Source organism: Homo sapiens, chromosome 4, assembly GCF_000001405.40.
Source record: "Homo sapiens chromosome 4, GRCh38.p14 Primary Assembly".
In the NCBI taxonomy this organism is placed as follows: domain Eukaryota; kingdom Metazoa; phylum Chordata; class Mammalia; order Primates; family Hominidae; genus Homo; species Homo sapiens.
In genome coordinates this window covers 167,512,399-167,536,516 of record NC_000004.12, presented here as the reverse complement: position 1 = coordinate 167,536,516, position 24,118 = coordinate 167,512,399, and positions in this window count along the sequence as shown.

Genomic DNA, 24,118 nt, shown 5'->3' with positions numbered 1-24,118 from the left:
TTTTTTACTCATTGAATTGTTTAAGTTCCTTATAGATTCTTTAAAGTTTAAGAATATATTTGTGTGTATATACATATATATGTGCTTCTGTATATATATATATATATATATATATATACGTGTTTGTGTGTGTGTGTGTGTGAAAATACTTAGAAATAAAGAAAAACCAAAGCACAACATACAAAAGATGTATAAGAAGGAGTGACAATGGTGCTCAGTAGAAAATTATAACTTGGCCGGGCACGGTGGCTCATGCCTGTAATCCCAGCACTTTCGGAGGCTGAGGCAGGAGGATCATGAGGTCAGGAGTTCAAGACCAGCCTGGCCAATATGGTGAAACCCTGTCTCTATTACAAATACAAGAAAATTAGCCAGGCATGGTGGCATGTGCCTGTAGTCCCAGCTATTTGGGAGTCTGTGGCAGGAGAATCGCTTGAACCCAGGAGGTGGAGGTTGCAGTGAGCAGAGATCACACCACTGCACTCCAACCTGGGCGACAGAGTAAGACTCAGTCTCAAAAAAAAAAAAAAAAATTGAGCATCACAGGACACCAAGAAAGCTAAAACTCAACCCACAGGATGGGAGAAAATATTTCCAGATCATATTTCTGATAAGGGACTAGTACTGGAATATATAAAATACTCTTACAAATTAACAATAAAAAGCAAATAACCAAGTTTTAAAATGGGAAAAATATCTAAATAGACATGTCTCCTTAGAAGATACAGAACTGGCGAATAAATAAATGAAAAGATAAGCCATTAGAGAAATACAAATCAAAACCACAATGAGATACCACTTCCCATCTACTAACATGCAGATACATAGTTATTTACATATAAAGAAAATAACTAGTGTCAAGTATGTGGAGCTATTATAACTGTTAAACATTGCTACTGGGAACGCACAGCAGGGGAGCCAAGGTGGAAAACAAATGAAAAGTTAAACACAGAATTACCATATGACCAACAATTCCCTTGCTAGTGAATACAGTAATGGGTCACGTAACAATGGGGATACATACTGAGAAATGTCATTAGGTGATTGTGTTGCACACTTACAGAAACCTTATTGTGTGCTTACACAGACCTACATGGTGTAGCCTACTACACATCTGGGCTATATGGTATAGCCTGTTGCTCCTAGGCTACAAACATGTACAGCATGTTACTGTACTCAATACTCTAGGCAATTGAAACACAATGGTGTTTGTATCTAAACGTAGAAAAGGTACAGTGAAAATATGTTATAAAAGATAAATAATGATACACCTGTATAAGGCACTTACCATGAATGGTGCTTGCAAGACTGCAAGTTGTTCTGAGTGAGTCAATGAGTGAGGGCTAAGTGAATGTGAAGGCCTAGGACATGAGTGTACACCACTGCAGACTTTATAAACACTGTACACTTAGGCTACACTGAATTTATTTTTAAAAATTTCTTTCTTCATTGACAAATTAAACTCAACTTGTAACTGTTTTTACTTTATGCACTTTTTAAAAACCTTTTTTAAACATTTTCATAACACTTAGCATAAAACATGAACACACTGTACAGCTATACAAAGATATCTTCTTTCTTTATATCCTTACTCTGTAAGCTTTTTTCCATTTTTAAAAATTTGGTCATTTTTTACTTTTTAAGCTTATCTGTTAAAAATTAAGACATGAAGACACCCATTAGCCTAGGCCTACACAGAGTCAGCATCACTAATGTCATCACCTTCCACTTCCACATCCTGTCCCACTTAAAGGTCTTCAGAGGCAGTAAAACACACAGAGCTGTCATCTCCTATGATAAAAATGCCTTCTTCTGGAATACCTCCTGAAGGACCTGCCTGAGACTGTTTCACGTTGACATATTTATAAGTAGGATTACACTTTAAGATAATGATAAAATGTATAGTAAATACACAAACAAGTAACATGGTCATTTATCATCATTATCAAGTATTACATACTGTTCATAATTATATGTACTATACTTAAATATGACTGGCAGTGCAGTAGATTTGTTTCCACCAGCATCATCATAAACATACAAGTGACATGTAGAACTATGATGTCTGTGAAGCCACAAGGCCATAAGAATTTTTCAGTGCCATTATAATCTTTGGAAACCACCATGGTATATGTATATGTGGTGACTAAAACATCATTATGTGGTGCATGACCATATAGGAAAACAAAGAATTGTTGGGGCATAAAATAAAACAGTCTCAAATATCCAGTTTCTTCAATCACTAAACACTCTCCAAGTATGAAATGGCCTCAGTGTAAACATCAAATCAGGGATTTAATTATGAAACCCTCTGCCATGATCTTAGAAATATTTTAAAGTTTGCCTAGTATGCCACTCTACAAAACAATTGCATGGCCATTATCCCATAGCATTTTAGCTAAAGTAAAGAAAAACTAATGTTGAAAAATTATTAATATGGTTTTTGGAGTATGGGATGAACACTTATAAGATTTATAAGAAACTCACAGAAACTTTAAGAGAATGTATGTATGAAAGTGCTGACAGCTTACACTAAAAGATATTGAGAAAGTTCAAAATTTTAAAAAGCCCCTGGTCCTGGAACTCTTTAAACAGAGATAGGGAGACTAAAGATCTAATCAATTGCAAACAGAGGACACTTCTCATAAAAAAGGAAGTACCACTTGGAGGACAGAGCCAAGTGGCAGAGAGAACCATGGATGTACTGGGTACCTTCTTCCATTCTTTCTGGGAGAGAAACTATTTGTGACTTTTCCCTGGAATAGAGGAATGTGATGACATGTTCCTCGGTGGATTTCAAATTGGCTACAGATTTGTGGCTGCTATGTTTTCTCTTTTTCCCTCTTTTTAATGGTTGTTAAATTTCTATCTCAGCATTATGTTGGATCTGGACAGTAAGATGGATAACTTATCATTTTATATCACTTTCTCAGTATCCAAAGATGCTGCATTTGAGCTGTTGTGCATGAGAAACTGCACATAATGAGCTTCACCTGGACCCAGGCCTAATTCACAGTACTCGATCATGGTCTTCAAGGTTGATGCCATGATTGGGGGCTTTGGAAGACAGTGACTGTAATTTGCATTATGGAAATGATATAAATTTCTGTTTTTTAAGCCACCTAGTCATTGGTACTTTGTTAGGGCATACCTAGTAAATTAATAAATAGGTCATCAGGATAAAGTATGAAAAATTATTATATATTTTCCAAAGTAGAGGTCATGGGTAACCTTGAAAACACAGTTTATGTTGAGTTGTAGGGATAAAGCCTTGGAGTAGGTTCACCTGAGAAAGAGAGGAGAGAAAATGATGATGGCAAGTAGAGAAACATTTCGAGGAGTTTGCTGAAAAGGGAAGGAAAGTAAAGAAGCATCAGACAGAGAAAAAATAATAGCATATTTGTATACTGCTACGGACTTAATATTGTCCCCACCAAAATTTATATTTTGAAATCCTAGCCCCCAGTACCTCAGTTCTAAAGTCTCCACAAAATGTGACTGTATTTGGAGATGTGATCTTTAAAGAGGTTAAAATGAGATCATTAGGACTGGCCCTAACCCAATGCAAATATGACTTATGTCTGTAAGAAAAAGAAATTTGGGGCCAGGCACGGCGGCTCATGCCTGTAATCCCAGCAATGTGGGAGGCCGAGGTGGATGGATAACCTGAGGTTAGGAGTGCGAGAACAGCCTGGCCAATATAGTGAAACCCTGTCTCTACTAAAAATACAAAAATTAGCTGAGCGTGGTGGTAGGCACCTGAAATCTCAGCTACTCGGGAGGCTGAGGCAGGAGAATTGCTGGAACCTGGGAGGTGGAGGTTACAGTGAGCCAAGATATCTCTCCATTGCACTCCAGCCCAGGTGACAAGAGTGAGACTACATCTCCAAAAAGGAAATTTGGGCACAGACATGTACATGTGCAGAGAGAAAATGGTGACACAGGAAGAAGGCTGCTATCTACACACCAAGGAGAGATGTCTTACAACAAAACTGCCAACAACTTACTCTCAGATTTCTAGCCTCCAAAGCTGTGAGAAAATAAATTTTTTCATTGAAGCCACCCAGTGTTGGTACTTTGTTATGATATCCCTAGGAAACAAAAACATAAACTTTTGGAATAAATCAACAAAAAAAGGAGAACTACATAATGGGTGAGAAAGGGGAAGAGTTTTTGGAGCAATGTCCTTGATGATCCTATAGAGCATGAGATCTAGGGTATAGCTGGAAAGTATGACCTTAGGAAGGAGCAGGAATAGTTTATCTTTAGTAATAGAAGATAAAGTTAGTAATATGATTCCATATATAGGCTGATAAATGTAATGTTAAGGACATTTGGAGTTTCTCTGTAAATGTTATTTATATTTTCTCCATGAAACAGGAAGCAATACTTAGGTTAAGGGAATAGAGGTAAAGTCATCATTTGAGAAAGTGGGAGATGAATGGACCCGAGAAAGTCAGGACAGTTGTTTCCAGCAGAACTGAGGGGCTATATCATGCTAGTGATAATGAGTTTAAAATGAGATGAATAAAGATAAGTGTGTCTTTTATTCTGTTTCCATAAAGCATCTGAGATTTAGAACTTCAATTTAAATTGTGAATTATGTATTTATGTAGATGATAAACAGATATTTAATTTTGAAGAAATGAGAGATGATTTACAGGGAAGATTACAATTCATCTACAAAATATGAATCTAGGCTTTTTTCAGGGGAATTTGACCTTCAAAATGATTGATAGAAAAATGTAGCAAAAGGTCAGATCAAAAAGGGGAGAGGGTCTATGTGAAGTCTTTCCTTATGCATTTATGACACATAGAAGAGTTAATATAGTCTAACTGCCTGGGCTAAGGCCATAATTTTGAAGAATCCTTTCTTCAGTTAGAGTGGGCTGAATACTTCTCCCGTCTCAGGAGAACTTCAAGAAATTTTGTGAAAAAGCTCATCAGGCCTTAAAATCATCTACTTCCCATTCTTTTTTCTTTTTCCCTTTGCTCAATCACCTTCTCCACGCTTTTATCACTTGCTTGTCAGACAGCCCCCAACATGTTCAGAATTCTCAACTGCCATATATCAGTACCATATTGTGCAAATGCTATAGGAGTTAAGACTGATCTTAAGAGCTGGCATTTAAAAGTACCTTTACAGTGAACATCACTTGTGTCATTAGTAGTCAGTTAAATGAGGATGAGTAACACATCTTCAAAAGATTCAAAACAAATCATTTGGAAAAATACAATTGGACATACAAAAATCACATCTATAGAGTCACATATTTCACATTTATCTGTGACTGTCCATTAAATAGTATACTTGGAAGTCAAATTCAGTGATGAGTACATAGCTAATTTCCAAAAACAGCCCATTCCAATTTTGTAGAGTTGTATTTATTATAGTTTTCAATTAATCATAATCCCTTGGGATAAGTGATGGGGCTCATTATGAATGCATTTGTGTATATTTTCATTCACTATACACTTTTCTATTTTACATATAGAATTAACATAGGATACTGAATATAGATATTTATATTTTATCTGTATTTTAATATTACACATATTTTACATATACAAATTCTGTAACAATAATACGTTGCTATATTTTTGTTTCCTTTTTTCGTGCCCCTTTCTTGTCTCCACCATTCAGCTTAGAACAATTTTGTCTGTGCAAATTTGAAATGTTACATTTTTACCCACACAATACCTAGACTATTTTATCTTATGTGATATGTATTTATAAAATGTCATTTAATTTTTATGATTCAAAATTAGTATCAATCAATATTCTCTTATAACTATTTAATGAATAACTGATGAGTATTTTTTATTTTGGGGCAAGTGTCACCTCTGATGACATCACTAATATTTTAATCTATTGAGTTCATATTGCTGGTCCATACATCCCAGGGAAGGAGACTATAAAAGATTGTGTAAGTACGCTTAGAAATACTTTAATTAAAATGATTAAATTAAATTTTAAAAGCAAAGTGAATAAGAATAGTCAGCATGACATAATTACAATAAATCACTCTCTAATATATAACAGTGATAAATTTTAACCCAGGTTCTAACTTCTACTAGCTACGTGACATTGGAAAAAATTCACAATTACTCTAAACTTTAGTTCTCCTATAAAATGGTAATCCAATTATTTATTTTACTAAATTATTATGAGTTAATTAATAAATGTAAAGTTTTAGCAAATAGTAACTGATCAATACATGCAAATAAAGGGCTACTCTTTATGAGGAAATCTTAAAAACCAAGCACCCAAATAAAATCGGGTACCTGCACTGTATACTCAATTTGAGAGAGAGTTTTCTAAATCTAGTTTTTTCTGGTTCTTTCTACTTATTCTCATGGCTGGAAGTTTTTCTGTTGCATTTCCTCATCTCAGGCTAGGTGTGTCTTGTGGCAACATCATTCTCTTTTACCTTCTGCCTTTTACAGCCTCCAAATCATATGTAGTTCAATAATAATTGATATGGAAAATTTATCTAACTTTCCTGTTTGATAAATGTGTGCATTTCAAGAGAATAAATAACCTCCAATGAAGTATATGTCATCAGACTATAATCTACAAGCTTTGTACACAATTTGTGTTACTTATCATTCCTTAAAAATATTAGACATGTTTTATGGCGAGGGCTCTTCCTATGAGCATCAATACAACATCCTAGGTTTTGAGTCTGTTGACTTTCTTACTTTTAAAATCTCTTCTCCATCATATGTAAGCTCACTTATTTGCATGATTGTAACCAAGTCATAGCTGTTATGAATAACTGCACAAAAATCAAAATCTCAAAATATCAAAATCTCAACTCCGGCAACTTCTCCTCTGACCATACTTCTATATTTTTAATTCCTAATAATCCCATTTCAGTATACTTCATTTTACTGCGGTCTTTAATCTGTTAATCCTACTAGTTTTTTGTTGTTAATTACGGCTGGAATCATATAAGTTATCTTCCAAATGAAGACGCTTTTAAGAAGAAAGGGAACACTCAAACTATTCAAAATTATATGATTACTTGAAACACTTGCTTATTAATCAACAAATAGGATTCATTATATTGATAGACCTCTAAACAGTTTTTTATACCTAAATGTAGTATTATTATTTTATATCCAGGCAAAAATTTTAAATGTAATGTTGATTCTCTGAATATTAAAAATAGTATATGAGAAATATTACCCCATTATTGATTCACATATACTTTAATCAGTTTCCTAGCCATACTTAAAGCAATGGACAAGTAATATCCACTATAAAATTAGGATATTTTTTCCAGTAGAGTTTATTTTTCTTTAAATAATGTTACTTCTAGTTTTCTTCAAATTTCCATTTTATGCTTAATTAGTTTAAAATTGCTAATCATTTTAACTGAAGCTTCTCTTTGTAATGCTATTTTTAAATGAGATAAATATTCTCATGTACTGGAATAACTGGTAAGCTGATAACGAACTCTGCTTAGTGGAGACCATTGACAATTCTATTTATTTGCATTGAAATATATAGAATTTACAAATATGATGTTTGTCTCCATCCAGAGCACTTTTCGTAACAATATTATTGTAAGACAATGTGTGTGAAGTAATTTATTTGTATTTATACTTTTTCAAAGTTTTGCCTATTTTGATTCTTCAAAATTGTGGTGATGGCTTTTTTTAAATAGCTTTTCTGGAACCTCTCACAAAACATAGATAGCAATAGAATAGGAAAGACAAAAATCCATGGACAATATTGACAACAAAAGTACATAACAAGTTACTTCTCTAGTACCAGATATGCAAATAGCAGCAAACAACTAAAAAAGAGAAGACCTGCATACGATCTGAGTCAGTGAAAGAGGACAGCATAGAGAGTCAGTAGAGCTTCCAGTAAATCTAAGAACAGAAAAATTCCCAAAATTGCCACGTATACACTGGAGAGCATGTGGTCAATTTGTAATCAGAAGCTGAAACTAATAGTCCACATGCTCCAAGGCAAGTTCTACAAAGGCTGGAGTTGTCACATAAAAACTCTTGAAACTGACCAACCGGGATTATTTTTTTTGCATAAGTTTGCACAAAAAGCAGAAACTGCTGGAAACTGAGTCAACTTTGAGGTCAAGAACAGTAGAGTTAAAGGAAGAATGCAGATATTAAGATAAGTGAAAGAGGAAAACAGAATTGGCACTTCTCAAAAGTGCAAGCTACTTATTTTGAACCGTTAAACAGAGACAACAAATAAAACTTCTATGGAATTAGATTATTTGACTTTTGTACAACATTTTCTGCCTAATTCATAATTCCTGAAAGTTTGGAAATGCAAATTTCATATCGAAATAAACAAAGAACTGGAAAAGTTCAAATCTTATGCAAAAGTTTTAAAAAAAGTATAATAAGGAGCAGAATAACATCCTTTTTCACCATGAAATTATGCCATAAACCACACCAACAAAATATATAAAAACATGGTTTACTCTTTTGAAATTAGCCAATATGAAAATAATAATATGTAACCTCAAAAAATTATACAGAATAAAATAACTCAGAGTTAAAAGAACTCAGAAAGAAAGGAGGCAGAGCAAGATGCCAGAATAGAAAGCTCCGACAAAGACACCAAGTTAACAACTATCTACACAGAAAAATACACCTTCATAAGAGCCTAAAATCGAAAAAAACAGTCCTGACTCATCAATGCCAATCCCCCAAACCCTGGCAACAGCAGCATGGTGAGGAAAACGTCTCTGGCATTGGGCAAGGCAGAACAGAACATCTGTGAGGCATTGAACCCAGTGCTGTCCTGTTAAAGCAGAAAGGAAAATCAGACCAAACTCAGCTGACACCTGCCCAGGGAGAGAGGACTTATAAATCAGCCCGAGCCATAAGGGACTCACCAGTCCCAGCTGTCGAAACTCAAGTGCCTGCAAACCTCTCCACCAAAGGCTACAGCACTCTGTGACTCCAAGTAAACTCGAAAGGCAGTCTAGGACATAAGGACTGCAACTCTTAGGTGAATCCTAATGCTAGTAGGCCCAGAGACAGTGGACTGAGGGGCATGCAAAATACTGAGACACTAGCTGGGGCAGCCAAGGGAGTGCTGGCATCACCACTTCTTTAACCCCAGGCTGCACAACTTGAGGCTTTAAAAAAGTCCCCTTCCTTCTGCTTGAGGAGGAGAGAAGGAAGCGTGGGGAAGACTTTGTCTTGCATCTAGGATACCAGTTCAGCCACAGCAAGACAGGGAACTGGTTGGAGGTTTGAAGACCTCATCCCAGGATCTATCTTGCAGACAACATTTCTAGCCATACCATGGGACAGAAGGGAACCTGCTACCTTGAAGGAAAGGACCCAGTCCTGGCAGCATTCATCACCTGCTCACTGAAGAGCCTGTGGGCCCTGAATAACCAGCAGCAGTGCCCAGGTACCACACTGAGGGTCTTGGGTGAGTCTCTGAGAGTTGTTGGCCTCTGGTGTGACTCAGCACATTGCCAGCTGTGGTGGGTATGGGGCAAAATTTCTACTTGAAAAGAGCAGAGGGAAAATTAAGGGGACTTTGTCTTGCACCTTAAGTACTAGAACAGCCACAGAGCCATAGAGCACCAACCAGGCTCTTAGAGTCCTTGACTCCAGGACATAATTTTGGATGGCATGTCTGGACCTGCCTTGGGCCAGAGCGGAGTCCACTGCTCTGAAGGGTGAGTCCCACGCTAAGCAGCATTCACGACAAGCCAACTTAAGAGACCTTAGGCATTAAGGGAACACCAGCGGTAGTCTGGCAGTACTCCTCGTAGGCAGTACTCCTCATAGGCAGTGCCTATGAGGTGAGGTTCCTCTGCCTTTGGAAATGAGAGAGAATAGTGGTTAAGACTCCATCTTTTGGTTTCAGTACCAGCTAAGCCACAATACAATAGAATCCCAGGCAAACTTCTAAGGTTTTTCACTCTAGTCTTTGACTCACAGACCTGGCTGGCTTTGCCACCTGCTGATTGTAGAGCCTCGGGACCTTGAGTGAACCTAGGTAGTAGCCAAGGAGTGGTTACAGAAGGCCTTGGGCAAGACCCAGTGCCATTCTGGCTTCAGGTTTGACTCTTTGGGGAAAAAGTAAGGGAAGAGAACAAGAGTCTCTTCCTGGTAATCCAGAGAATTCTCCTGGATCAGGTCCAAGACCATCAAGATGGTACCTCTACAATTCTACAAGGACCACAGCATTATTTGCCTTGGGATGCCCCTAAAGCAGATACAGCTTAGATCACAACACCCAAGTCCATATAATTATCTGAAAAGCCTTCCCAAGAAGGACTGATACAATAAAGACTACAATAAATATCTAACTCTTTCATGCCCAGACACCAACGACTATCTACTAGCATCAGCAACAATTCAGGAAAACGTGACTTCACCAAGTGAATTTTATAAGGCACCAGGAAACCAATCCTTGAGATAGAGAGATACATGACCTTTTAGACAGAGAATTCCAAATAGCTGTGTGGAGGAAACACAGCACTCAATAAATGCAATTAATTTGTTGCCTACAAGAAACACACTTCACCTAGAAAGACATACACAGACTAAAAATAAAGGAATGGAAAAAGATACTTCATACCAATGGAATTGGAAAAGAGCAGGATTTGCCATACTTTCATCAGACAAAATAGATTTCAAAATCAAAACTCTAGGAAGAGACAAACAGGCCACTATATAATGATAAAGGAGTCAATTCAGTGAGAGGCTATAACAATTGTAAAAATATATATGTACCCAACACTGGTGCACCAAGATATATAAAGCAAATATTATTAGACCTAAAGAGAGAGATAGGCCCCAATACAATAATAGCTGGAGACTTTAACACCCCACTTTCAGCATTTAACGGATCTTCCACGTCAGACTTAATCTGCACTATAGACCAAATGATCTAATATTTACAGGACATTTCATCCAAGAGGTGCAGAATACATATTCTTTTCCCCAGCACAAGGATGGTTCTGAAGGATAGACTATATATTAGGTGACAAAACAAGTCTTAAAACATTAAAAAAAAACTGAAACAATATAAAGCATCTTTTCTGACCACAATGGAATAAAACTAAAATTAATAACGAGGAATTTTATAAACTATAAAAATACATGGAAGTTAAACAATGTGCTGTTGAATGATCAGTATAAATAAATTAAGAAGGAAATGGCAAAATTTCTTGAAACAAATGATAAGGGAAAAACAACATACCAAAACCTATGGGATACAGCAAAACAGTAAGTAGAAGTAAATGTATAGCTATAAATGTCTATATCAAAAAAGAGGAAAAACTTCAAACAAAAAGTCCAATGATGCATCTCAAAGAACTAGAAAACCCAAAATTAGTAGAAGAAAATAATAAAGGTCAGACCAGAAATGAATGAAATTAAAATAAAATAAATTACAAAAGATCAATAAAACAAAAAAATTGTTTTTTTGAAAAGTTAAACAAAATTGGCAATCCTTTAGCCAGACCAAGAAAAAAAGAGTGAAAATTCAAATAAATAAAATTAGAAGTGAAAAAGGAGACATTACAACTGATACGACAGAAATTAGAAGGATCATTAGTGGCTACTGTGAGCAACTACATGCCAATACACTGAAAAATCTAGAAGATATTGACATATTCTTAGATACATACAACCTATCAAGATAGAATCTCAAGAAATCCAAAACCTGAATAGACCAACAACAAGTAACATTATTGAAGCTATAATAAAAAGTCTCCTACTAAAGAAAACCCAGACACCTGATGGCGTTAGTGTTGAATTCTACCAAACCACTAAAGAAGAATTAATATCAATCTCACTCAAACTGCTCTGAAAAAATAGATGAGGTAACACTTCCAAAATCATTCTACAAGGCCAGTATTACTTACCCTCGTATCTAAACAAGACAAAGACACATCAAAAAAAAAAAAAAAAGAAAACCACAGTCCAATATTTCTAATAAATATTGACCCAAAATTCTCAACAAAACACCAGCACTTTTGACATAGTTCTAAGAACTTACACTGGGGAAAAGGTAGTCTCTTCAATAAATGGCGCTGGGAAGAGTGAAACTAGACCCTCATCTATCACCACATACAAAAACCAAATAAAAATGGATTAAAACTGAAATCTAAGACCTCAAACTATGGAACTACTACAAGAAAAAAAAAAAACAACACTGGGGAAAATCTCCAGGTCATTGTTCCAGACAAAGATTTCTTGAGCAATATCCACAAGCACAGGCAACCAGAGCAAAACTGGACAAACTGGATTACATCAAGTTAAAAATCTTCTGCGCAGTGAAGGATACAATCAACAAAGTGAAAAGACAACCCACAGAATGAGAGAAAATATTTGCAAACTATTCATCTGACAAGGGATTAATAACCAGAATATATAAGGAGTTCAAACAACTGTATAGGAAAAAAGTCTAATAATCCAATCAGAAAATTAGACGAAGATTTGAGTAGACATTTCTCAAAAGAAGACATATAAATGGTAAACAAGTATATGAAAAGGTGGTCAATATCTTTGATCATCAGAGAAATGCAAAGAAAACGACAATGAAATAACATCTAACCCCAGTTAAAATGGCATATATCCAAAAGACAGGTAATAACAAATGCTGGCAAGGATGTGGAGAAGAGGGAACCCTTGTACACTTATGGTAGGAGTGTAAATTAGTACAATCACTATGGAGAACAGTTTGAAGGTTCCTCAAAAAACTAAAAATTGAGCTACCATATGATCCAGCAATCCCACTGCTGGATATATAACCAAAAGAAAAGAAATTAGCATCAAAGAGATATTTGCACTCCTATGTTTGCTGCAGCACCGTTTGCAATAGCTGCTGTTTGGAAGCAACTAAGTGTCCATCAACAGATGAATGAATAAAGAAAATGTGGTACATATACACAATGGCGTACTATTCAGTCATAAAAGATAGAATGAGATCCAGTCGTTTGCAACAACATGGATGGAACTGTAGATCATTATGTTAAGTGAAATAAGCCAGACACAGAAAGACAAACATTACATGTTCTCACTAATTTCTGGGATCTAAAAAATCAAAACAATTGAAATTGTAAACATAGAGAACAGAAAATGATTACCAGAGGCTGGGAAGGATAGTTGGGGGGCGGGGTGGAGGTGGGAATGGTTACAAAAAATAGAAAGAAATAATAAAACCTAATATTTGCTATCACAATGAGGTGATTACAATAGATAATAATTCAATTATACATTTTAAAATAACTTAAAAAGTATAATTGGATTATTTTTAATTCAAAGGATAAATGTTTGATGGGATGGATACCCCATTCCTCATTTTGTGCTTATAATGATGTTATTCCTTGTATCAAAACATCTCATGTACCCCATAAATATATACACCTATTTTGTACCTACAAAAATTGTTTAAATTTATTTTTAAAAGAACTCAGAAAGAATAAGAAATAAAGAAAAAAGTTATTACAGAAATGAAGACTATAGTAGAAGCAACACAAGAAGAAATACACGCAACAGTTAATTCCTTAAGAGAAATAGAAGTTGAAATGGATTAAACAAATAAAATAGGCAATGAATAATTAAGCAAAAGTGTTAAATATTAAACCTAAACAAAGTATATCTGACTTATTATAAATCCTTGAAAAAGAAAACCAAAGCAAGAGAACAGATATAAATATTAAATATAATTAAAAGTTTTTCTAAATAGATATCATAAATGATTTGTAACCGCATATTAAAAACGCATTCACATACTAATAATATTGATCCAGAATGACCAACAGCAAAACATACTTAAGTAATGTTATTTAACTTTAAAGAAAAGAAACCTTTGTCATGTAGGAAGAAAATAGGGTGACTTATTAGGAAAATTAAAATTAGATTGTTATAACACTTTTCCACAGAACGGCTTATGTCAGCAGAAGAAAAAAGTAACATACTTAAGAAACTTGGTGAGAGGAAATTTAATTTAAGGAGTTTTATATCCAGGAAAAAAAATGAAATTTAAGTGTAAAAGCACACGTGCATTTGCCTATTGTAATCATTTGTCTGTTGTAAAACTAAGATACCTCAGATAAAACATTTCCAGACATTGAAATGATTTAATATATAAAACTTATTCCCAAGTAACATGGTTTCTTGTCCTGGAAACATTTTTTCATTAACTTCCAAATTTATGAACATTAAAGAAGTCAGGAATTTTTGTTCCTATGACTTCCCTAAAAAGTTACCAGAAATACTAACATAAGCATTGGTGATGAGCATTAAAGATATAGCTAATTGCAGACTTTAAGACTAAATGGATAATAAGAGTGAAAAAATATATTTATGTACTGTAGTATGCACTGGCTATATACTATACCAATAATGGTATAGTTCAACTATTTTTTTAAAATGAAAGAGAATGGGAAGAGAAAAATATCAAGATAATAAAAATGTTATTGAAGCCCTACAAGGGCTGCCCATTCACCTTAGTAACAGTCCTAAATATTGATGACAATATGACAATTGTTATGATGGCTGAGTGAACATAAAGAATAAAATTTTGAAGGTAATGGCAACTCATTCATTCTCTGATTTTTTTCATTTAATTCATAATCAACAGACATTTATTGAACAGCAATTGTATGGCTGACACAGTTCTCATTGCTGTATTTCTAATAAGTATAATATTATAATATTGAAAATGTAGCATCTACAAAAACAAGTTTAAGCCATTTAGCTTTCTTGAAACATCAAATGGTTGCACAAAAATATGCCAATGGTTTTCATAAGGTTGCCCTTTAATTGTTTAAGTTGAATATTCCACTTTCCTTATAGCACAGGAGGTAGGCTGTGACTACAGGAAGTCAGGATCCTATTAGAACTAGCATGATTAATCATTTGTGTGCTGTAAAACTAAGATGCCTCAGATAAAACACTTCCAGAGATTGAAATAATTTAATATATAACAGTTATTCCCAAGTAACATGGTTTCTTATCCTGCAGACATTTTTATCATTACCTTCCAATGTTTTCTTTTTACATCTTAGTAAGACATCACAAAAATAACATAAAATACATTCAAAATTCATTAAAGCTGATTAAACCAATACCAAACAAGTAAAACTGCCTAAGTATAATAATTGGTTCTTACACAGGAAAAAAAATATCATCCTATTGTGTTAGGGAAAGACTTTCATGAAAACAGACTAGAAATTTGGGCTTAATATATAAGTAGGATTCTGAATGACTAAACCAAGCAATAAACATGTTATAGAAAGTATTAAATGAAGAGGTGGTTGAGAAGTAGAGGCAGTGTTTATACTGTAAATATTATGGTATAAATCCTTATGTAGATTTTATTTTGACCTTGACTATTTAACATAGAGCTATTTTGAAAATGCACATTTTGTCAAAGGTGTTTTCTTTACCAGCTTTAATAGAAAATGAGAGTATTTATTTATAATTCCTCAGGCAAATTCAATTCTGCTTACTGCCTTTGGGTTAGCACATTACTTTCAGGTCATAGTTAGCAGCAATATAATGCAAGTATTTTGTGATTTAGACACGAGCTAGAATTTAAATTGCATCTTCTGATATTTTGCTGTTTCAGGATAAAAATGAAACAAAACTCATGGTCCTTATGGAGCATATTTTTTTGTGAAGAAAACAGAAAATAGAATAATGAGTGACCAAGCTAATAGGTGAATTGTAAGTTAACTATAAATAAAACAATAAGCTAAATAAGTGCAATATGTGCTTGTTGAATAGTGATCATTGTTAAAGAGAAAGATAAAACAGGGAAAGGGTAGGACGGTAATTAGGTTATAAAGGTCAATAGGAAGTACTCCATGAGAAGGTGGCAGAATGGAGCCATGAAAGAAGTGAAACAGTGAAGTGAGAGAGACAGGCAGGCAGGACACCAAGTGTACAGACATGGAGGCAGGAGTGTGCCTGGCCGTGTTAGAGAACTAGCAAGGAGACTCATGTAAAGTAAGGAAGTGATAGGAATAGGGGATAGGAGCACAGAGGTAACCAGCAGTCAGCTATGTCAGGACCTTATGGGTATAGACTGCCTTTTACGATTAGTGAGATGGTAAGCCATAATGTGATAGAGCATGGGAGCACCACAAGCCAAGATGGTTTTAGTAGGATCATTTTCTCTGCTGCACAGTGATAGAATGTAGAATGGAAAAGAACAAAATCAAGAAGACCAGAGAGTAAGCTATTTAGTAAGATGACTGTGGCATGCCTTATGACGGCAGCAGTGGGGTGACACGGAGAGAGTCTGGATTGATAAAACACACAGACGCAAAGTAACTGTGAAGCTAATGGAACTTTAGCTTTGGGACACTCCCCTGCACAGGCTCCTTCCAAAGAAGGCCTGTATCTTGAAATGAATGTCTTATGGCTGCTAGCGTGCATGCATGGGGGGCAGTGAATAAAAAGTTGAGGAGATGGAGGACGGAATACAAAGGAGAAACAACTTTTGGGCCAGAAATTAGCCTGTGGGAAACTCTTCCAAATATGAGATGTGTAAATTTTTAAGTGCAGATTTTTGTTCTGATTAATATCTAGCCAAAACAGAAGTTCCTGCCTGTCAGAAGCATTTGATAATTCTTCATACAAAACTATAAACAGCTTAATTTTTAAAATATTTTGATGAGAAGAGCATGAAACAGAATTTACCACAATTCCTGTGGTTATAGGTCAGCAACTTACAGTGTTATTACAAATAGTAAGTTCAACTGTGTTTGAAGTCTCATATTTTATGCATTATCATGAAATGCATCAATGAAAATAACTTAAAATTCATAACTAACCACTGAAATATAGGCATCAATGACAAACTGGGTAATGTAATAAATATTATCCATTCAAAAGATACCTAAAGTATCCCTACATGAAAATTGAGATGCCTTGAAATGTTGTCATGTATGAAGGAAAATATGTAAAGATTATTCCAAATTCCAAAGACTTTTCTAGAATATAAGCAATCCAATAAACTTAATACTTGTATTGCATCGCCAAAAGTAAGTTGTAAAGCTGAAATTTCACAAATTTTATTTCCAAAATAAAAATAATTTTAAATTTTCAATCAACTGTTATGAAGACATTAAATGTCTTTTTCTTCTCTTTAAGAATATTTTAAGAATCATCATAGGAGAAAGTATTCAAGAGCATGAAGTTAGAATTTATAGGGAGAAATGCTATAAAGATATGTCATGTAATTACATAACAAAACATTATTTTATTTTGTATTTTATAATTTTTTGCCATTTATCAGCTATCCAAATTTTGTATTATATTGTGATTTCTGTTATAAATATATATTCACATTTATGCCCAATTTTATTTTCAAAATTTTTGATTTTGTTTCTTGAAGTGGCCTGTCTAAATTTGAAAGGCTTCAGGTTTTATGCAAACCCTATAATTTGAAGGAACAGCTGAAAAGGTTTACTGGTTGATTGAAGTGGGGCATGAGAAAAAGCAAGAACTTAAAAAGATTTACCAATGTTTCGGTCTGAGCAACTGGAAAGCTGGAATTGTCATCTGCAGATATCAAGAAGACTATGAAGGAGCATATTTGAGGAAATAATAAAAAATTCAGTTTTTAACATGTTATCCTTAAGGCATCTATTAGGTGGGGATGGCAGAGTTTAGAGTACAGGATAGAGGTTCAACTTGAACATGTAAGCCTGAGAAGCTTTAGCTTATTAATAGCATTTGAAGCCATGAGACTTGATGAGATACCATCATGTACCACCTAATGACATCTAACAAGGCCTAACCATGTTTCAGTCAACAACAAACCATATATACGATGGTGGTCGCATACAATTATAATGGAGCTGCAAAATTCCTATTGCCTATGAGCTTCAGAGTCTTCTTAACATTATGGCAGAAGCATTACTCACAGTTTTGCAGTGAGGTGGGTGTAAATAATTCTTCACTGCCAGTTATATAAAAATATAGCAAAAACATAGCACATTCAATTACACACAGTTTATATACTTAATAATGATGATAAATGACTATATTGCTGGTTTATGTATTTACTACACTGTACTGTTTATCATTATTTTAGAGTGTCCTTCTTCTACTCATTAAAAAAAAAAGTTAACTATAAAAAGCCTCAGGCAGGTCATTCAGGAGGTATACCAGAGGAGGGTATTGTTATCGTAGGAGATGACAGTTCTATGCCTGTTATTGTTCCAAAAGACCTTCCAGTAGAACAGGATGTGGAGGTGGAAGGCAGTGATATTGATGATCCTGATCTCATATAGGCCTAGGCTAATGTATGTGTTTGTGTTTTAGTTTTGTTGTTGTTGTTGTTTTGTTTTTTGTTTTTTTGAGACAGAGTTTCACTCTTGTCACCCAGGCTGGAGTGCAGTGGTGCTATCTAGACTCACTGCAACCTCCGCCTCCCAGGTTCAGGCGATTCTCCTGCCTCAGCCTCCCAAGTAGCTGGGATTACAGGCATGCACCACCATGTCTGGCTAATTTTTTATTTTTTAGTAGAGACGGGGTTTCTCCATGTTGGTCAGGCTGGTCTCAAACTCCCGACCTCAGGTGATCTGCCTGCCTTGGCTTCTCAAAGTGCTAGGATTACAGGCCACCGCCTCTGGCCTGTGTCTTAGTTTTTAACAGAAAAATTTAAAAAGTAAAAAATCAGAAAATAAAATTTTAAAAAATAGAAAAAGCTTATAGAATAAGGATATAAAGAGACAATATTTCTGTACAGCTGTACAATGTGTTTATGTTTTAAGCTAAAGGTTATAAAAGTCAACAATTATTTATAAAAACTTTATACAGTAAAAAACTTACAATAAGCGAAGTTTAATTTACTAAAAATGAAAGAAAATTTATTAAATAAATTCAGTGTAGCCTAAGTGTACGGTGCTTATAAAGCCTATACTAGTGTACAGTAATGTCCTAGGCCTTCACCTTCACTCACCACACTCACTCACAGATTCACCCAGAGCTACTCCCAGTCCTGCAAGCTTCGTTCATGGTATGGTCCTATCCAGATGTACCACTTTTTTTCTTTTATACCACATTTTATTGTACCTTTTCTGTGTTTAGCTACACAAATAATTACCATTGCGTTACAATTTCCAACAATTTTCAGAACAGTACCATGTGTTACAGGTTTGTAGCCCAGGTATGTAATAGGCCATACAATCTAGGTTTGTGTAAGTATGCTCTGTGATGTTTACACAATGATAAAATTACCTGAGAAGGCATTTCTCAGAATCTATCCCCATTGGTACGTGACACATGACAGTACATAGCAGATATGGAACACATAGTTGAATCTATAAATCTAACTATTAGGGAAGAGATTTGAGATAATGAAAACAATTTAAGAGTCATCAGCACAAAAACTTTTTATATGTCTGAATAAGACCATGATGAAGTGAAGATAAAGAGAAAAGAGAAGTGACTCCAGAACTGAGCCCTGCCTGGGTCATTCACTTGTTAAGGATGAAGGCAATGAGGAGGAATCAACACAGGAGAGTGAAAAAGGAGCAGTTAGAGGGGTCAGAGTAACACAGGGAGTGTGATGTCCTAATACACCACACATATGCCAAGAGAGTCTGAAAAGCTTTATTATTCCTATAATGTGGTTATCAAACTGATCCAAAGTGGCTTGAGAGCTGAGAAAAGAGAGTCGGTGGGGGAAACATTATGGCTAAGAGGTGGGGCTAGGTTGACACTTCCTAGACTTCCAAAGGTGTGAAACTCCCATTGGTGCCAAAGAACATAGCATGCAGGCTTTCTTATCAGCTTGCTCAGATGCAGAAAAAAAAAAAAAGGTGAAGCTTGTAAGGCACCACGGTGGCTTCAGGAGAGAATGCAATGAGGGAATTGGGAAATAATAGAAATGAATAATTCAGAATTTTCTGTAAAGGGAAGGAGAAAAAGAAAGAGGTGGTAGAAATAGGGTCAAACGGATATTTTAAGATGGAAAAAATAACAATAATTTGATAGGAGTTATGAGAAAGGAAAACCTTGATGCAGGAGATGGAGGCCAGAGTCGCTTGAGTGGGCAGAAGGGAGTGAGGCTGAAGTTCCTGAGTGACAGGGTGGAGCGTAGCGGCACAGAGTAGGTGGGGTTTGGATGAGCTGGGCGACAGCTTGTTGGAGCTGATTTCTGTTTTTTTCAGCTTTCTCCATGAAATAGGAAATTAGGTCATCATCTGAAAGCCAAGAATAAGGGTGTCACCTTAGGACAGAAAAAAAAAAGAGAGTAATAACCATCTTCGCTTTAGCTAATGGTACCTGGAAATTCACCCAGGCAATACAAAGAATGCTTTGACACTGTGAAAATCTCTTGCCTTGAGTTATTTCTAAGTTCCCTTCTGTACCATAGGAATAGCCATTCCTTATAGAGTACTTTCCAAAATGAGGCAGAAGCACCTGTACTTGTGTCAAAAAACAAACAAACAAACAAACAAACAAAAAAAACTTCTTTCTAAAGGATAAAACCTATTTTGTCCTTTGTAATTAGAAAGAAACCTTAGCAGGTTTTATATGAGATTCTACAAATTTTACCTACATTGATCCCCTTAAAGAAAAATGCATGACATATTTAAAATGCTATGCCTCAAGGTCACTGCCAAGCATTCTTATTTTATGTAGAGGTGCTATGTGCCTCTATTCAGATTTTATTTTGCCTGTTTGTTAACCTCCAGACACAAATGATTCTTTGGAAGGAACATCTTAAATTTTATATAGTTTTAGAGAGCCTTTTGCTTCCTTTCTTTTTCTCATACACGATCATCAACCTCTGAGTAATTGTAGTTTACAGACCAAAAGTAACATAAGCGTAGATATAAACATATATGTACCAACACATATATATTTAAATATTCACTATAACCCTCAAAAAAAGAGAGAGGCAGGATTTGCCCATTTGAATGCTAGAAGCATTCTGTATAGTGGATACCAAGAAATCATAAATTTATAATATGAAGCCATTGTGGCTTGAGGGATAAATATTCAGTACCTGGTATTACCTGATAAAGTCATACATATGTATAGCTCCATTTTATGTGATAATTACTGAATCTATCTTTAGCATCTGCTTTTACCAGATAAACTGAATGTATTATTTTGGATAAGGCAGTCACAATAATTCATAGCCTTGTGAAGATTTGGCAAATAAAGGGGTCATAAGAGAGAGAGAGGAAAGTTAACTATAAAATTTTATTAGAAGATTAATATAACAATTATCTGCATTATATACATTTTTAGAAATTGTAAATTGCATCTTTAAACTCCAGATTCTCTAGGAACAAAGTTAAAATAAAGCTTAACCCAAAGACATCTGGAGGATTTATGAATTATCCATTTTAGCCTTTGAATATTAAAGTGACTTTTATCACATTTCAAAATAGCTGTGCATCTCCTTTCCATTTACAAACAAATAACTCAATGTTTCTTTGATTTTGTTCAACTGCCTACTATCTAAAAGCAAGTGATAAGCTAAGAAATGTATTTTAATAATGAAAGAGATAAGCTGAAGAAGAATGTAGGCAGTTGTTCAGAGATATGGGTGTAATAAATCCACCTTCACATCTAGAGATTCTCTGCTTAGTATGATCAACTTTAAGGTGAATCTTTAAGCTGACTATATCCTCAATGCCACCTTATTTTTCCTTGGTATGGTTCAAGAGCACAGATCTCCCTGAGACATCATTATTTTCTTAAAATATTTTGAATGAAAATAATAACTCTTTAGGCTAACTCATACTAAAATTGAAATTCTTAGTTTTAATAGAATTTCTCATAGTTTTTCAGTATTAAAAAATTAGATGTAAAAGGAAAATTACTGCAAAATAAATGAATACTAAAAGAATTAGAAAAAATATAAATATTTATTCTTGAACTAGGGATGCTCATTCTAACCTTTAACATAAAGAAGTACATTGTAAAGAACTAATAGATTTTATATATAAAAGAAAATATCTACACATGGGAAACAAAGTTTATAAATAACCTTAGTAGATGAAGAATTTTTAAATATTAAGAAACAATAAACACACAAAAGTAGAAAAGAGTAGACAGGGTGAAAGAAAATCTCAAAAGAAGTAGGGATCTCCAATGAATGTTAAACTATATTCAACCTTCAATTCATCGAATAAATAAAAGTTAAAGCAAGAGTAGAGTAGCATGTTTTAAAATACTCATTTAGTAATGATCTTTCAAAGTGAAAATTAAAATGCATAGTATTCATTACTGGTCCAATCATATATTGTTAATGCATGATGCATAATGTTAAAACTTACAGAAAGACAATTTGTCAATACATATCAGCATGTTGCCATCTTTTGGTCTAATAACTATACTTGTAAATTTTTGTTTCAGGGGAAAATCAAAGATATACATAGTGATTTTATCTCTTGGTAGTTTTAAATTTATAAAATCCATATAGGGAAATAATTTTGTCTTTTGCTAATTTCTCCTCCCTCTCTTTCATCTACATACCTGCATACATGGATATAGGTATGTAATACACGTATGTAGGTATATAATCTGCTTCTGTCTTTCTGTTCTGTCTCTGTACACAGACACACATGCAATAGGTCACAATAGATGTATGTATGTACATTTATATATTATACAAGATGAATATTTTGACATATTTGAAACATGTATGTATATATGTATATGTATATACATACATGCATATAATACTGTATCATATACACACATAAATACTCACAGTGTAGGTAAGTACATTTTATGTTACTGATAAGAAGTTCAACAGTTTTGCCTACTGTGACATTGGACTTTTCTACTATCCTCAAAACTCTGTATTCTTTCCTTATAAGTTTCAAAGAATCCATCAAACAAAACTCTAATTATTGCTTGCTTTATTTATTTATTTATTCACTTATTTATTTATATTCCTACTCTGTGCCAGGCACTCTGCTGTACATTGGTAATAGAGTATTGAATTAGACAACGAGCTTCCTTGCCCTTCTGCATTGTAGGTATTGAAATTATAAGTGCAAGAACGTTCATGAAGGAGATTTTCAGGGTGCTATAGTATCATTAAATAGAACCGAAGTAGTGATGGAGAGGGAAGGTTTGCATGAAGAAACAGCATTAAACTGAATATGAAGTAGATACATGGGGCTTGGGCACTAGAAATTGCAAAAGATGAAGGTTATGATAAGCACAAAGAAATTCCAGTGGAGGTACTAGCCCTTGGCTTCAAGAGTAGAAACAGAAGGATAAAGAGACCTGTATGGTTGAATCTTAGGAAGGAAGAGAAAGCAAGGTAACAGTAGAGCGTCATGACAACACACAGATAATTAGGGGCCGGATCATGTAGGAATTAGGTGATAAAGGTTTAGGTTTTATTTAAATTGTAATGGAAATTTATTGAAGATTTATATATAAAAAACTAAAAATGTAAAAATTTACCTTATAAATATTTTTCAGAATTTTGGAGAACAATCTGAAATGATCACAACAATCCAAAAAAAGAATGGTTGTGATTTGGGCTAGTGTGATGGAACTGTGAATAAAGACAAGTGGACAAATATGACCCAAATTTTGGAGAAATAAACAGTGGTACTTATTCTTGAGGTGGGTAAAGGTAGGAAAAGGAAACTGAAAAATGAAGCAGGAATCTAAGGATTCTCTTTTGAGCAACTGGGTACCTATAATTTCTCTTTGCTGACATGTGGAAGATTGTAAATATTAGGGATAATAAATATCAGGAGTTCAATTTTGGTCATTTTAAATCTGAAATTCTTGTGAAACATCCAAGGTGACATGTCAAGATTGTAGCATATCTGGAATACAAAGTAAACATTTAAATTGGAATATGTATCTGTGAATATTATCATTTTTAGCATCATAGGTATAAATGAGGCCATCTAGACAGAAAGTTTTTAAAAAACTGCAATAACTAGGTCCTAAATTCCTTAACTTAGAAACTTACGAAAATACAGACATGTAACCTCAACACTCTGAATCTCTTCTTCAGTCAGTCTAGGTTTCAGGGTCCAGGAATATGTAGTTTTTAGAAAAGTTCCCAGGCTCACTGAATAAATCTTAACAACATGATTGTAAATATGTAACAAACATCAAAAACTTTTGATGCTAAATTAACCAATTA